At 34.5% G+C, this 17,988-nt stretch overlaps 1 protein-coding gene across 3 annotated transcripts in view; it reads left to right on the forward strand.

Moving 5' to 3' along the window:
* The window catches only part of KCNN2 (potassium calcium-activated channel subfamily N member 2), a 440,519-nt gene that overhangs the window by 159,089 nt on the left and 263,442 nt on the right, over positions 1-17,988 (forward strand). For all 3 annotated transcript variants that reach the window (XM_047417166.1, NM_001372233.1, XM_011543389.2), the window contains one exon: positions 6,414-6,499. The gene's annotated coding sequence lies outside the window, so the exon portion shown is untranslated. The remainder of the gene's footprint in view (positions 1-6,413; positions 6,500-17,988) is intronic.

Genomic DNA, 17,988 nt, shown 5'->3' on the forward strand with positions numbered 1-17,988 from the left:
GGTGACAAGAATGTTTTGCTTTGTCAAGAATATAACTTGAATAGGCTTAATGAAATATTTTCATTTGTCAAAAGGACTTGGTTCACAGTTCGTATTTGTATTGTATAGGAAGCCAGCAAGATAGCAGTCATTTAAGATTTTATTCCTACTAGAATATAGAGTTGTCAGCTGTAACCAGGATCCAAAGCTCAGGATAGAAGCCATAATCACTTTTATCTTTTCTGCCACAGTGAATAATAAGAAAATTTCTAAATGGTGAATTTAAAGCAGAAAATTTGCTTTATAGTAAGCTGGGAGTAAGAAACCAGTAGCTAGATAAAGAATAACAAAGGAGAGTTACTTTTTTTCATTGTGAAACATATTCCTTATACTTGGTGACACAGAACCCTTTGAGCTTGTTTGTGGACTAACACTCTAAGGCAGGAAGGGATCATGCTTGACTCCAGGCTTTGAAAAACAGTTGTCTCCTTGCTATAGTTAAATCAATAAATCAGGGTAGAACCCAAGACATAAAATTATGCTACAAATCGGACACCCCTTTTGCATTCCCTCCTTGAGCCACTCTCTGCACATCGAAATTTTCACTGTGTGTTTCTGCATTGATTACTCCCTGGACACCTGCCTCTGGGAAGAGACAAGATGGCAATAATCGACTGTTTTCTTATAACTAAATGAACATCACCTGTAGCCTCCACATTATTTGGAAAATAGTTCTGTAAATAATTTTTTGAAGCTCCTTTTGCACCTTTATGTTAGAAAGTAGGTATAAATTTTCTGTCTGGGCCAAAATTTGTCAGCAGTTTTTAGTACCTAGAATAAGACTAAGAGATAAATACATTCTAGTTCTCTACCACATTGAATTAAAAGCATTTTAATGAACTAGCCGATTACCCAAAGTATCCTCAGGGACAAATGAGTATTTGGTTTCTTAAAAAATTATAATATAGAACTCAACATATTTTGTGTAAAAGAATGTTAGCTTTCATCTGGTAAATTTACTTCAACTGGAATTCTCCTTTCTATGGTTTCCAAAGGTTTTTAATTTAATAACTCACTTTTCTTAATCAGTGATTTTCTGTTTCTCTCATCAGTCCAACATTACTACACCAAGAAATGAAAACAGTTTGGAATTTCAACAACATGAGAAACAATGAAAAACAAAGTAAATTATTTCCTCATTTTTTTGTCTGAGAAACATATGTGTGGTATTTACATTGGACTAACGTAGAAGATAATTGACATTAACATATGGCTCTGCAATCAGTGACAGCTATGGATGCTTAATTGATTTGAATCAGTTGTTAACACTTTGGGAAAATGTAGGTTGGTGGGTCTCAAAAGTGTAATCCCTGAAACCATTATGTATACCCATGAATATTATGAGGCATCTCACAATGTTGTCATTGGACCATGTGAATCTGAAGTTCTTATGTAAAGGTAAATTTATGAGCTTCACTCAAGATATTTTTAAGTAAAATCATTAGAATTTATCAATAGATACAGAAAAAGCATTTGATAAAATCCAATATAAACACTCTCAGCAAACTGGTAATAGAGAGGAACATCCTTAAATTGGTAGAGAATATATACGAAAACCCACCAGCTACCAACATACTCAAAACTTCCCCACTAAGATCAGAAACAAAGCAAGAATGTCCCTTCTCACCACTTCTTTTCATTGTTGCACTGGATGTTCTAGCTAATGCAATAAGACAAGAAAGGCAGTAAAAAGTATAGAGATTGAGAAGACAGAAATAATACTGTCTTTGTTCACAGATGACGTGATTATCTATGCAGAAAAAAATTTTTAAAAACCTTCCTGGGACTAATAAGCAATTATAGCAAGGTTGCAGGATACAAGGTAAATACACAAAAGTCAATTGCTTTCCTATATACCAGCAATGAACATGTGGAATGTGAAATTTAAAATGCAGTACCATTTACATTAGCATCAAAAAATAAAATAATTAGGTATAAATCTATCAAAATATGTATAAGACTTGTATGAGGAAAGCTACAAAACTTTGATGAAAGAAATCAAATAACTAAATAAATGGAGAGATATTCCATGTTCATGAATGGGAAAACTCAATATCATCAATACATCATTCAACTTGATCTAGAGATTCAATGCAATCCCAATTAAAATCCTACTAAGTTATTTTGTGGATATCAATAAACTAATTCTAAAGTTTATATGAAAGAATCAAAAGACCCACAACAGCCAACACAATACCGAAGAAAAACAAAGTTGGAAGACTGACACCACCTAACTTCAAGACTTTAAATCTACAGTAATCAAGATAATCAAGTATTTGCAAAAAATAGACAAATACATCAATGGAACATACCAGAATGTCCAGGGGAAAAAAATCGCCACATAAATGTAGTCAACTAAGCAAATATAGTCAAGGAGGAAAGACAATAGAATGGAGTGAAGATAGCCTTTCAACAAGTGGTGCTGTAGCAACTGGACATTCACATACAAAAAAAAGGAATCTAGACACAGACTTTATATGGTTTACCTAAATTAACTTAAAATGAATCACCTGTCTAAATGTTAACACGAAAGTATAAAACTTGTAGGAGATGACATAGGACAAATCTTTTATGACCTTGGGTGTGGTCATGGCTTTTTAGGTACAACACTAAAGGCGTGATCCATGAAAGAAAGAATTGATAAGCTGGACTTCATTAAAATTAAAAATTTCTGCTCTGAAAATGACACTGTCAAAAGAAGAAAAAGAGAAGCCCAGACTGGAAAAAACATTTTTAAAAGACACATCTGATAAAGGCCTGTTATCCAAAACATACAAAGAACTTAAAATTCAACAATAAGAAAATGACCAAATTAAAAAAATGGGCAAAAGATCTGAACATTACTTCACCAATGAAGATACAGATGGCAAATTAGCATTTAAAAAGATTCTTCATATCATGTATCATAAGGGAAATGCAAATTAAAGCAACAATGACATACCACTACACAAGTACTGAAATTGTTAAAATCCAGAATGCTGACAATACCAAATGCTGACAAGGATATGGAGCAACATTCATTGCTAGTGGGAATACAAAATGGTACAGCTGCTTTGGAAGACAGTTTACTGGCTTCTTACAAAACTAAACATAGTCTTCCTATATTACATAGTAGTTGTGCTTCTTGATATTTACCCAAAGGAATAGAAAAGTTCTGTTCACACAAAAACCTGCACATGGATGTTTATAGCAGCTTTATTCGTTCATAATTGCCCAAACTTGGAAGCAACAAAGATATCCTTCAGCAGGTGAATGGATAAATAAACTATGGTATATCCAGACAATGGAATATTATTCAGTACCACAAAGAAATGAGCTATCAAGCCATGAAAGGAGGTGGAGAAAACTTAAAATGCATATTACTAAACTGAAGAATCCATCTTCAAAGGCTACATACTGTATGATTCTAGCTATGTGACATTATGGAAAAGGTAAAATTATGTAGACAGCAAAAAGGTCAGTGATTTTCAGGGTTGGCACAAGGGACAGATGAATAGTTAGAGCACAGGGGATTTTCAGGGCAGTGAATTACTCTGTTTAATGGTGGGCATATGTCATTATACGTTTGTTCAAAACCATAGAATGTACATACCAAGAGTAAATACTAATGTAAACTATGGACTTCGGGTGATAATGATGTTTCAGTGTGGGCTCATCAATTGTAACTAATATACCACTCTTGTGTGGGATGCTGAAATCGGGGAGGCTATGCACATGTGGGGCTAGGTGTACATGGGAAGTCTCAGTACCTTTGAAGCACGATATTTCTCTGACACCTTCATGGGACTTGTGGCATGGTACCTTGTTCACTCAGCCTACCACTCTCAACTCCTCATGGGAAGGAGCATGTGAGCAAAGAAGTGCAGGAACCAGAGCAAGCACTTTTGGGAACTGGCAGGAACAAACTCCATTTACTTGGCTCACCACACTCAACTCCTTGTGGGAGGGAGCAAGTAGGTAAGCGAGTATGGGATTCAGCCAGCTGCTTTTGGGCACCAGCGGGAGTGAACTCTTTGCAGGCCCTGCAGCAGCATCCAGGCAGGGGTGCCTGTGACTCTTGAAGCCCCAGAGGGCATGTGTTACAGTGCTATTTTAGCTCTGCCATCCATGGCTGACTTAAATGTTAAAAGCTTAGTAGGCTGTTTGCCTTTTTGTGTGAGGTGGCTGCCCTCCGCCAGCAAGGACAAAGGGTCAGTGTGACAGCCTTTTGTATCTGCACTCATGGCTCCCAAGCTCTTGTCTGGTATCCAGGAAAAATGAGGTCACCCAAACAAATTGAAGGACGGTAAATGTGGGGGATTTTATTGCCAATGAAAGTGGCTCTCCGCAGGAAGGGGAGCTGAAAAGGGTACGGGGTGGGTAGGTAATCCTCACCTGAAGTCCACCTGTCTCTGGCCAGATTCTTCTTTGAAGTTAAACTGTCAAGGTGTCCCTCTGAAGTCAGGTTGCTTCTCTCCAATGTCCAGCTGTAATCTCATCTACCAGCTGAGTCTGGGGTTTTTATAGGCACAGGATGGGGCAGGGAGGGGCCATATGTGCTTTAGGAAGATGTAACATTCAAGCAGGAAATCAGGGATATAAGTTCTCACTTCGGGCTGTGGTTGCAGGTTTTTTGGCTTGAGGGTGGGGTTTTGCCAGGGATCTGCCCTTTTCTGCCTAGAATTTCTCTGCCCTTGTCCCTATCACCTTCCTATCAGTTTTACTGCAAATCTAAAATTAATCTTTAAAGTCTATCAAAAATAATCAAAAAATAAAAATAATTGGGATAGCATCTATAGATAAACTGTATGTTAAGCATCAGCATACTTTTTCTGTGAGGGCCAGACAGTAAAAGTTTTAGGCTTTGTGGGTCAAAAATTGTCTTTGTTGCATATTATTCTATATTTCTTAAGCAATCATTAAAAAATTTAGAAATAATTTTTAGTTTACAGACCTTAAGAAAAAAACAGGTAGCAGGTTGGATTAGGCCTACAGGTCATATAGTTGGCTACTCTTCGGACTGTGTAATTAGAAAAACTGGCCGTGTAAAACAAAGTTCTGAATGCTAATGTTGCAAGCCAAACCTATAACATATCTTAGGACCTCTTCTTGGCTTAACAAATAATACATTAGAAATGTGTATTTCAAACTTCTAATTAAAATGGTATTGCCAATTGATATATTAATAAACACCTCCTTCAACACTTTCAAGATAGCAATGCTGGAAAAAATATTTAAAAACATATATTTAAAGTATCTAAATGCTACTTTACCATGGTAGTGGGCAGGAGAGAGGAAAAAATCTAACCCAAGAAGATTAAAGCCAAATTTTATGAAATAGGGCCAATAAACTCAATAATCAAGTAAATTATCCAAAGAAATACAAATACTAAAGCAGTTTTTCAAAAACTATTTGTAAAATAAGTATTTTTAAAATTCTGAAAGGGATACAGAAATGTTTTTTAAAAAAAGAGAAAGGAATTATGAAATACAAACAGACAAATGAGACTTAATACGAGGATTAGCAGAAAAGGAGCCAATTAGAAATCCTGGCATTGAAAATTATGGTCATTTTAAAATTAACAAGTGAACATGGCTAAAGAGATAATAAATAGCAAGACACAGAGCAAAACACTGAGGCTGAGGCAGGAGAATTGCTTGAACCCAGGAGGTGGAGGTTGCAGTCAGCTGAGATCGTGCCACTGCACTCTAGCCTGCCTGACAGAGCTAGACTCCATCTCAAAAAAAAAAAAAAAAAAAAGTTAAAGTCAAGTTAAAGACTCAGATCAGAAGATAGGTCGAAAAGTTCCAACATATTCCTGGTATATGTTCAAATAAGAAATGTAACAATGGAAAGAGGCAAGATTTGAAGAATTAATGAGAATTTCTTCTGAATTGAAGGAAGACAGTTCTCATACAGTGACCCAAGTAGTAAATATGCTAGTAAAAATAAATTCAACTCTGTATGCATTATAATATCACCACTATCCTATATGACACGTTTATGTGAGACAGAAAACAGTGCCCTCTGGCAGATGCTGTTCTTTAATTTCATGACTTGAGTGAGTGTCCCATGGCCTGGTTTTCAGCCCCCACTTGCTTGCTTAGCTGTATTCCTTTGTACAGGGCAAGAATTACACAAGTGCACATGGATAGGCCCTAGGTGCAAAGTGATAGAATCTAGGAATTGTTTTAAAGATTTTCTACAAAATAGCAATAATTAAGCTGACTGTAGATGTTTTTATTACTGACAATATATGCTAGGAGGTAATAGAATAAAATTTTTAAATGCCAAGGAAAAAACTCAACCTCAGATTATACAATACAAAGCTATTATTTAAAAGAGAGAATGAAACAAATTTTGAACAAAGACTAATAGAATTTACCTCTTACAGATTCTTGCTGAGAGAACTACAAAAGGATGGACTCCAGCAAGAGGAAAAATGAATCTAAGGAATGGAGTGGGATATAAGCAATAACAGTGAGTAAAAATAGTAGTAAAATATGTACATTTAGTTCTAATATAAATAAGTGATTTTATTGAAAACAAAAGTTAGGTCAGCTGAATTTATTTCAACTAAACTATCTGCCTATAGTTTAAACTATTTTCAATTTAGTGATTCATTCTTTTTTATGTATTACCTGCCTATTTCTCTCACTAGCCCACCACCACTGCATTAAGAAAACATAATAGGCACACAAAAATATTTCTCCAGTAAACAAATGTATTTTCATTTGAATTTTAAGAATAGTTTTTGATGAGAGATAGCATTTTGGTGAGATTAAGTATCAGAAAATATGCTGTAGTTTTAGCTCTACTTTTAATTAATCTTTGTTCTGGAACAAAATACTATAGCTTCTTTCGACCCTGTTTTCTCATTGAAACTGAGGATGATGAAATACACCTTACTAATTCACCAAGAAGTTGAGGTTAAAACAAGTTAAAGTGCATGGCTAGATAATATGTTTGAGATTTATTTTTCTTTTACTTATATGCCTCATTGTCTAGTTGCCAGATAAACATTTAATGCTTCAGTGAAAGTATATCCAAAGCAGAATGCAAAAATAGTTTGCAAGGTCTCCTGTAGTTCCTTTCAAAAAATTAAGCAAGGAATAAAAAGGGGAGTAAATGAGGGGGATCAGAGAAAATCTAAGAACGTAAGCAGGGTCCTCTCAGCAGGAAGCTGTAAGACCCTAGTAAACAATATTTGCATGGTATCGTTAGGCACACCATACCAAAGGCAGCCTCAAAGATATTTTTTTGATATGACTGTTGCCTAGAACTACCATACCAGAAAGGGCTACATGGACAGGCAATGAATATCAAAAAATTGAACTAAGTATTTGAGGGCCTTCCCCAAAATACTTTAGGGCTATATTTGATTCTGAGACCATGAAGTCATTAGGGGATTGATATGTGAATGACAGTGCTCAAGAATGGCAAACTGCATTTTTCATGTATCTCAGTGTGCAAATAAGTTGATTTGAAAATTTGCGAACTGTACTATATTATCGGATGGGAATGTCAATTCTTCCTCAATTAAGCTGTGGGTATGGCACAATTTCAGCGCAGGGAATCATATCCCTTGTTTGTTTTTACCATAAGACAGTGATTAAAAAAAAGAAGCTGAATGAGACATTAATGTTAAAAGTTAGACTTTTGGTGAAAGGTGATCTTGGTCTCAAAATAGGCCTTCACTTGGTACTTCCTAATAAGTCAGCTGTTTAAAAAGTCCAGGTTCTGTGTATGCTGTGTTACCTTTTCATCTGCAGTCTTTGATTATTGAAACTGGTGGTGTGACTACTTGCTGTGAGTGAGCTGCCACAGAATGTATTTGTTTATATTTAAACGCTTAATCTTAGGGCAGCAGATGAATGCCATCTCTCATAATCTCTATTGAGGTCTCTTCTGCTTTCATGCTGTCCATCTTTCTGACTACTAACAGTCAGTAGCATTCATTGATTTTCTACAAGACAAAATGTAAACCTAATAAATATTTTTTTGTGTTCTTGCACTACATGTTTAAAAGAAGATATATAATTTAGGTCAAGAGTTAAAGAAATATCAATACCTGGGCACAAATACATGTCAATTGATAGCATCCATCGTTTGACACTAACAGTTTTGAAGGTCTGCATGGAAAAGTAACCCATAATTAATTAGTCTACTGGAATGAAATGATTTCCAAAGACATACAGTGAGGATTCTGATTCTTCGCAGCTTCAGAAAAACTTGTTTGGAGAAAAATCTTTTGGAAATGCTTATTTTCCCTTTCAAAGTCATCTTGAACTGCTTTGAGATTATGACCAAGAAGGAGACCCATATCTGTTTTTCTTTAGCCATATTTGAAAACATTTCAGTAAAATATATAAATAATATATGATGATCATTTTCACATTTAATAAAATTAATGGTTTTGAAATTAAGACAGGAGTCTCCTTGGACATGCACAGACAGCCAAAATAGACAGGGAAGTGTATTTTTCAGAGTCCAGTTAGGCGATAGAAATCACAGCAATTGTTTTTACAAGAGAATTTAATACAAAGAATTGTCAGCCAGGAATTGACAACCTGAAAAAAGACAACACTACATTTTTCACAGAGCATCTATAAGGCTGGGGAATAAAAGGATGAGGCTAGGGTTGGTTTTTAAAGTTTAGAAGCTTGGATGAAGGACTCAATGAACTAAGACGAACTTCTGAGGAAGGGGTGTTGCTGAGTTGTGATGCTGCCTCAGGAATGCAACAGAAGGGCTGTGTGGGGCTAGGACCCAAACCTTTGAAGAAGGGGGCCCCATTTGGCAGCACCTGGGGCCTGTGAGGGGGCAGAACAATGTTGGTTCTATGGTTGTTGAAAAAAATGCAAACTAGAATCAGTTGTACTATTGGAACAACTAGCTACTACCAGGGTGAAACAGTGTTCAGTGATGCTGAGAACAGGAAACAAAACAGGAACAGGAAACAGCCTAGAGGGAAAGTATTCTTTCTCTCTCTTCTAGCATTTTAATATCTCTCTCTGGTGCCCCCTTTTGGTAGAGCCTAATAGTAATTCAGCTGACCACAGAACTGTGGTTTTCAGAGTCCCAGCCCAAAAGGTAAAATAAGGAAAAATGGATTTGAATCTAAGAGACGATAGCTTAACAATGAATATGGGGAAAAACAAAATAAAACTTACTTGTTTTGCTTGCCTTCTCTATTATTATTTCATCAGAGATATGTTCAATACTTTTGGTTTTCCATATTTTAGATAAAAGTAACCATTTTTTAGAAAATATTTTTTCTTGCTGAATTAATGGAGTGTGAAAAGAAAGTAGTTGAATAAAGGTTGATAGCTAAACATATGCATGTATTTTCCACAAGTCTTTTAAGATAGCTTAAATATATTTTTTAGATTCTAAATCTTAATTATGTAATGAAAACTAATTCATGACAGGAATAATTAGGGAAAAGAACATGGATTTGCTTCATGCAGAAGAACACTATAGAAAAGGCAGAGCACAAAAGAAAACAGAATCCCGCTGGAGGTGTGGGAGTGATCTCTGGAGAGCTCTAAGCCCAAAGTCAATGAATTCAAGGCAGGTGAGGTTTCTGGAACATTGGGCTCAGTAGTAGTGTAATTATTTTCTGAGCCTGAGAACCAGTCAGCCTCCCCTTTCTTCTCCGGTTGTGCTGAGCCATGGGCTGTTACAGCTTGCCATCAAGATAAAGTGAAGAGTGTAGGCTTTGAGTCCTGATGAGTTAGCTCCTTAGAATGCTGTGACATCCAGGGTGTCTGTTCATGTCTTTCGCCCATTTTTTGATGGGGTTGTTTTTTGCTTGTTCAATTGTTTGAGTTTCTTATAGATTCTAGATAGTAAAACTTTCTAATTCTAGATAGTAAAACAGTGATGCAGGAACAGAAAGATGACCAGACAAGCAAGAATTGCCTGAGAAAATCTATCCCTATAAGGAACAGTAATCAAATTCAACAAATAGAAGACTTTATACCTGAAAAGGTTATTTGACTAAATACAAAGTATTTTAAAAGCTTTAATTGATATCAAAGAAAGGATGTAGTATCTATAAAAAGTAAGGCATTATGTGAAGAATGTAGGTAACTTTGTAATTTAAATATGGTGGTAGAAATTTAAAGATCTCATTAATTAATTTAAAGATCTAATTAATTCTCTTAAATCCAAAAATAGACACAACTGATGAGTAGCAAGTCAAAGGTTTCTCCATTATGGAGACTAAGACAGATATTAAAAATGACGGAAAATTTATATTATATAGAAGAAGCATCAAGAAGGTGCAGTGTGTCTGTTTTCTAAGCATTCTAAGCACATAGAACAGAAAAGGTGGAATAGAAGAAATAATCACAGCAATTATTTATAAAATATTTTCAGAGTGAAACACCAATTACAAGTCACCAGTGGATTAAGTAACAAAAGACACATATATTTGTTTGTTGTGTTCAATGATATATCTCTAGCACACAGAACAGTGCTTGATACATAGTAGGTGCTCAATAAATATTTATCAAATGAATGAATGAGTCTAAGCATAAAAAGGCAAATTTTGAGAACACCAAGGATAAAGAAAAAAATCCAAGTTATCTACAAAGAAAAAAAAAGAAAATCAAATTTTTATAAGACTTACCAAAAAGAGATTCTAAAAGGGACAAAATTTCAGATTCTGAGGGAATTGATTTTGAACCTAAATCCTTATAGCCAGCTACATTAGCATTTAAGTATGAATATAGAGTAAGACTTAACAAACATGCCAAAATTCAGAAAGATAATCATCCACGTATTCTGTAAAATGAATATTTAAGCTTGTCCTTTGGCAAAACAAAATGAATTGAAGAGGGACATAGATTAGTGAGCAAATAAATCAATAAAGCATGTAGTGAAATTCATACAACTGTGGTTTATTGAAAACAAAGAACTATCCGGGACTAAAATCCCCAAAGATCTCACAGAAGAAACAGTGAGTCAGGGATTAGAAGAAGAGCAGAGTGGGAAATACCAGGTCGAAAGAAGAGAAAGCATTCCTGTTTTCTTGTAGGTTAGTATACAAATACATTTAATTAAAAAAAATACATTTTAACCTAAAGGAAACCTTAGATTAAATGTTCTTAAAATGCAGAGTACATATACTCCTTTAGAGTGTTTTATTTTTTTCAATATTGAATCACATTATATGAGCATTTTTAGAATTGATAGATACTGGCAAATTCTCTGCAGTACAGTATATCGATTTATATTCTAACAACAGTTCTTTAAAAGTGATTATTTCCTATACCTTCACAACATTTGATATAATTGTTTTTCCTCAATTCTATCATATTATGCATATGATTTTGCAACTTGCCATTTATTTTAACAATGTGTCATAACCATCACTTGAGGTCAGTAAAAAGAGAGATCTAATTCATTTTTTAAAATAGGTGCATAATGTTTTATAGTAGCTGTATTTATTCTGATTATGCCAATTTTATTGTTGCCACTATTGTTAATAATAAAAGTTATTAAGCAACTGTCATGTAAAGAAATATTGGCTGGATGCAGTAGCTCATGCCTGTAATCCCAGCAATTTGGGAGGATGAGGCAGGCGGATCACAAGGTCAGGAGATCGAGACCATCCTGGCTAACACGGTGAATCCCATCTCTACTAAAAATACAAAAAATCAACCGGGCATGGTGGCGGGCACCTGTAGTCCCAGCTACTTGGGAGGCTGAGGCAGGAGAATCCCTTGAACCCAGGAGGTGGAGCTTGCAGTGAGCTGAGATTGCGCCACTGCACTCCAGCCTGGGCAACACAGCGAGACTCCGTCTCAAAAAAAAAAAAAAAAAAAAAGAAATATTGATAGGTCAAATAACAAATGAGTATCTAATTTTTGTGGATTACCCTTTGATTTTTTTCATGTAGTGGATTAAATAGCAAAATACTTCTGTGTCTTTTGATTAAGCTGTTTATTTTCTTGACCACTCAGTCCAAAAGACTATTTTAATTCACTCGTAATTCTTATTACTGTCTGAAAAGTTTTAATCATTTATGTTTTTCTAGTATCTTACTTGGTTCACCTCTAAAATGTACACTCTTTTAGGCAGGGACTTTGACCAACTTGCTCTATGCCTGATATTTATAACAGTTAATGAGCGAATGAAAGAATGAAGGAATGAGTGAGTGCCAGTGTTTTCCTATCTACTTACTTTTGTTTTTGCTGTTCTCGCTACTAAAAATATAACCTGTCAAGTTGTATTTACTCTTCAACACCTAGTTCAAATTCCTTTTTATTCATAAAGCATCCCTAGATCCGCTTGCTTAAAGAAGTGACTTTCTCCTTTACTCATGCCCTAAAGTACCCCGTACTGTTGTACTCTTACTCTTACCCCCTTCTGGCTTCCACCTTAAAAACATCATTAGTTGCCCATACAACTTGTTTTCTCAGTAGATTATAAATTCCTTGAAGACAGAGCCTATGTCTGTTCATTTTTCTGTCCTCCAGAGCACCATCATTGTGCCTTGCACTTGACAGAATTTTTAATTGAATTGAGTAATTACCATAAGTACCTTAATGCTTTTCGTAGCAGGCTTAGTGGAAAAGTAATAAAATTTGAAATCAGAAAAAAAGTATGAAACCTAGTTCTTTCACTCTTAGCTGTATGATATTATTTCTGAATTAAGCCCATGTACCCTTTCCTTACCTGTAAAGAAGGATTATAATTCCTAAATAGCAAGGTTGCAGTGAAGAGTAAACATTAAACATATACATGTAAGGTAAACATGAAGAGTATATATGAGTGTATATATATATAGTAGGTGAATATATGTTGGAACATAGAAGGTGAATATATGTTGATTCATTCCTTCATTCAGTAAACATTTGAGTGCCTACTGTGTGCCAAACAATGATTGATGATGATGACGATGATGATGATGATGATGATGATGATGATGATGATGAAAGAAGAAGGAGATGATGATAAAGTTCCAAGCTTTAATTGAATTCCCATTGATGAATGCTTATAATTTGGTGAATTATGAAAAACAATGACATAGATTTGGTGTTCAGGTATTAAGGAACAATAAAATTTCAGTCTTGAGATGTCATTTCAATTATTAGAATCAAATTCTCTTTCAACTGAAAAAGTAGTAAATATAGACTCCCTTTTTAATATAAGTCTCAAAAGTGAAGAATATCTCATTTACTTTTGAGGTTCTGTTACATGAAGTAAACAATAGATTTATGTAACAGCATGTAGAGTAGAAAAGAAAGTCTTGAATATTACATTTATGAAAATAATAAAAGGAAACTAAGTTTCACAACTGCATTTCAAATTTAAAAATATTGTCAACCAAACAGATTTTAAAAGCAGACAGTTTAAAATGTATAACTTTTAACCATCTATCTAATTTTTTGAAATAAAATAGTTTTATTATGATGTAGTCTGCTTCTGGGAAAAATGCAGTAATATCAGTAACTGGGAAAAGTTGGAAAATTTTTATTGAAACACAGAACTAAAATTGTGCCTGAAATTGCAGTTACACTAATATGCTTTATGTTTCTCCATTTCTGATATATAAGTTGAGCTTTCTCACTCAGCCCCTTACTTGGAAAGTATGTATTCATGATTTTCAGATTATGACTTCTTCATAATTTTATTAGAAGTTGAGAAAGTTCAGAATGTTGTCAATCACATACATGATTTTTTAATAGTGGCTTTTGGATTCTTATGATGTAAGGTTTGTATCATGTTTTTCTTTTACACATAAAATTTGTCATTTATATTTTCTCTTTAAAAGCGTTTTGCTTTCAAAAATAAAAGACAATTATAGCAATAAATTATTACTTTCATGGCATATTATCTAATGATTCTACTATTTTAAAAACATTAGATTGTTTCTGAATTTAACAGTAAAATAGTTCAAAGAGAAATTAACTTAATTTGCTTATTTAAATAATTGTGTTGATTAATTAGTTAGGTTAAATTAAAGGATGGAAGCAGTAAAGCTATAAAATTTATGATTGTACTAAAAATTAAAACAAATTTGATTACTTTTCAGAACTTTAGGCAAAGATATTTTCCATTATGTTACTCAGTGTTCAGTTTCATAGAGAGTCATATGATAATGATTTCTTCTGGAATTTTAATTTCTGGAAAATGTGTCTATCTCCTGAATTACTAGCTTATTCTCTTTTATTATCTACTAAGATCCCTGCTTTTTTTTTTTAACATTTTCTTTTTTGCTTTTATTATCTAGGAGCTCTCAGTTTTTAACTTAGTATTCAGATACAATAATTATATCTCCCCTGGCCTGGTTATTTTCTCCTTATTCCTAAAAGACTCTTACTTTTATCTTTATATTAACTATCTTGCATGTTCTTGTTTTTCATACATAAGTTCCTGAAATTCTTTCAAATGTGTGAAAATTCTAAAAGTTTTTCCTTAAAAAATTCTGTTTGTGATTATTTGATTTAGGACATATCAGAGTACCAGGTTCATATGTATTTGCTTTGTTTAAAAAATTAGATGTAAATATTAGTATGTATTTAAAATATATGTGTATTATAGATGTTAATATATTTCAAATACATATTAAAATTTACGTACAATTTTTTAAAGAAAACAAAGGAAACCTTATTTTGTTCAGGTTTAATTATTGGGAAAAGTCTAATTACTGTTGTGGTACTAATAAGAAAAACAAGCAACTGGACCTTTGAAAATATGGCAATGTGGTGAAAATGGGACAAAGAGAAATAAGTCTCCAGTTTAGAGCCAGAAACAAGAGTATGGAAGGAGAGGCTGAAACAGAAACAAACCCTAGAAATGGACTTAAGCCTGCACTAGATGCATTGTACAGCTGGAACACACGTAACAGAAGCCTTTCTTTTTTTGCTTGGTTTGAATGCCAGGTCTATTAGATAAATACTCCAAACTGTTAAAACGAATAGACCTAAAGGTGAGAAATGGCTCAAACACACAATAGAAGTTAAGGAGCTTGACCTACAACTAAGAGATTGTATTATTTCTTTTGAGATATATTAGTAATTAATTTTGTCCTTTAAATGTATTTATTTATAACACAGGATTATAAAGGATAAGTTTAGATTAAGGATAAGTATTAGATTATAAAGGATAAGCAGGATTCTTCATTTCTGAGATACTGACAATGATAGACCCAAGGGGTAGTGATATTCTTTTTTTTTTTCTTTCTTTCTTTTTTTTATTATACTTTAAGTTTTAGGGTACATGTGCACATTGTGCAGGTTAGTTACATATGTATACATGTGCCATGCTGGTGCACTGCACCCACTAACTCGTCATCTAGCCTTAGGTATATCTCCCAATGCTATCCCTCCCCGCTCCCCCCACCCCACCACAGTCCCCAGAGTGTGATATTCCCCTTCATGTGTCCATGTGATCTCATTGTTCAATTCCCACCTATGAGTGAGAATATGCGGTGTTTGGTTTTTTGTTCTTGCGATAGTTTACTGAGAATGATGATTTCTAATTTCATCCATGTCCCTACAAAGGACATGAACTCATCATTTTTTATGGCTGCATAGTATTCCATGGTGTATATGTGCCACATTTTCTTAATCCAGTCTATCATTGTTGGACATTTGGGTTGGTTCCAAGTCTTTGCTATTGTGAATACTGCCGCAATAAACATACGTGTGCATGTGTCTTTATAGCAGCATGATTTATAGTCATTTGGGTATATACCCAGTAATGGGATGGCTGGGTCAAATGGTATTTCCAGTTCTAGATCCCTGAGGAATTGCCACACTGACTTCCACAATGGTTGAACTAGTTTACAGTCCCACCAACAGTGTAAAAGTGTTCCTATTTCTCCACGTCCTCTCCAGCACCTGTTGTTTCCTGACTTCTTAATGATTGCCATTCTAACTGGTGTGAGATGATATCTCATAGTGGTTTTGATTTGCATTTCTCTGATGGCCAGTGATGATGAGCATTTTTTCATGTGTTTTTTGGCTGCATAAATGTCTTCTTTTGAGAAGTGTCTGTTCATGTCCTTCGCCCACTTTTTGATGGGGTTGTTTGTTTTTTTCTTGTAAATTTGTTTGAGTTCATTGTAGATTCTGGATATTAGCCCTTTGTCAGATGAGTAGGTTGCGAAAATTTTCTCCCATGTTGTAGGTTGCCTGTTCACTCTGATGGTAGTTTCTTTTGCTGTGCAGAAGCTCTTTAGTTTAATTAGATCCCATTTGTCAATTTTGGCTTTTGTTGCCATTGCTTTTGGTGTTTTGGACATGAAGTCCTTGCCCATGCCTATGTCCTGAATGGTAATGCCTAGGTTTTCTTCTAGGGTTTTTATGGTTTTAGGTCTAACGTTTAAGTCTTTAATCCATCTTGAATTGATTTTTGTATAAGGTGTAAGGAAGGGATCCAGTTTCAGCTTTCTACATATGGCTAGCCAGTTTTCTTATTTTAAAGTTCCTGGGAAAAATTTTGTTCTTTGATTTTAAGTGTGTTTACATGATGGTAGATGATACTGTGATCATTTATGCTGATAGTGATCACCATGGCCACATTTACTTATCTTTTACTTCTAAGATTTTTCTAACCCAAGTGTAAATTAAGTTTGCCAGTGACAGTATGAAAACTATGACAGCCAATTAAGGGAAAATTTAGGCTGTGCTGGGTGGCTGAATTTTATGTAATTAGGAAAGGTAAATCCTCCAAAACTATGTCCATCACTAGATGACTTAATCACTTCTATCCTTTTCTTCAATTTCTGTCTTCCCATAAAATGCCTTGTTTTTTTTTTCTGTTAAAACCTTCTACTTGGCATTAGGCTGTTACAGGTAGACAGATCTGTGGGATAATTGGATTGGAGGCTATTAGCATCTGACTTGGCAAAAATCAGTTTAAATGAATTGAATTCAAAGCGTTGAATTCATTTTAAAAATATACTTTTAATCTACTGATTTTTTTAACTTTTGAGGCCAGTATTGATATTCTCAAGATAACTAATATTGCAAAAATTATGGGAATCCCAGTGTCCCTGTCCCACTGTTTGGGCCTGAGAATCTGTGACTTGGCTTCACTTTGATTGTTTCGAGTTGAAATAGAATGTGGCACATAGGAGTAAATTATTCAGGCAAGAGGCGTCATTGAATAGAGGATTAATGGTCTCGTCTGAATTAGAAATAGGATGAGAACAGGTCATGAGTCCTATTTACTCCACAATTTATAACATTAAATTTAATTCTAAATTAGTGTTATAAAATGTATAAAAATTAATGGTCCATCTTAAATCATATAGTACTTTCTTCTCTACCTTTCTAAATTATAAACATAACATTAAAAAATAAAAACTAAATAATCACTGGTAACCATCAGTAATATTTTAAGGTTTGCGTTTTGCCTTCCAGTCTGTCCACATGTACTCCAGGCTTATAACTTCCTCTTTACAAGCGGGTCTTTTTATGTATGTATGAGAACATATACCTGTGTCCACGATAATGAGTACTTCGCAATATATCAGGCTTAACCAAAAGTTTTTCCAAATCTTTCCTATTGTCATCTTTTGATGATCTCTTTTTTTAAACTTTTAAATAAATAATCCCCATTGAATTGTCTTCTCTAGCTTAAAAAGTATTGTTCTTTAACTTTGCGGTGTCAAAAAGTTTTATCTCAAAGTCCAATTCCAATTTATTGATAATGATGGCATGGAACACTATACTCAGAATTCTGGGTTTTCCTAAGATGTCAGCAGTAAAGAGGTCCGTGATTGATTAGTGGTGCTGATCATGGAAGCAGGAGGGTGGTTTTGAGAGAAATAATGCTTATTACTGATTTTCAGAGGTAATTTTTTATATTGTTTCTTGTTTTTTTTTTTTTGAGACGGAGTCTCGCTCTGTCGCCCAGGCTGGAGTGCAGTGGCGGGATCTCGGCTCACTGCAAGCTCCGCCTCCCGGGTTCACGCCATTCTCCTGCCTCAGCCTCCCAAGTAGCTG

The sequence above is a fragment of the Homo sapiens genome, chromosome 5, assembly GCF_000001405.40.
Source record: "Homo sapiens chromosome 5, GRCh38.p14 Primary Assembly".
Taxonomy (NCBI): Eukaryota; Metazoa; Chordata; class Mammalia; order Primates; family Hominidae; genus Homo; species Homo sapiens.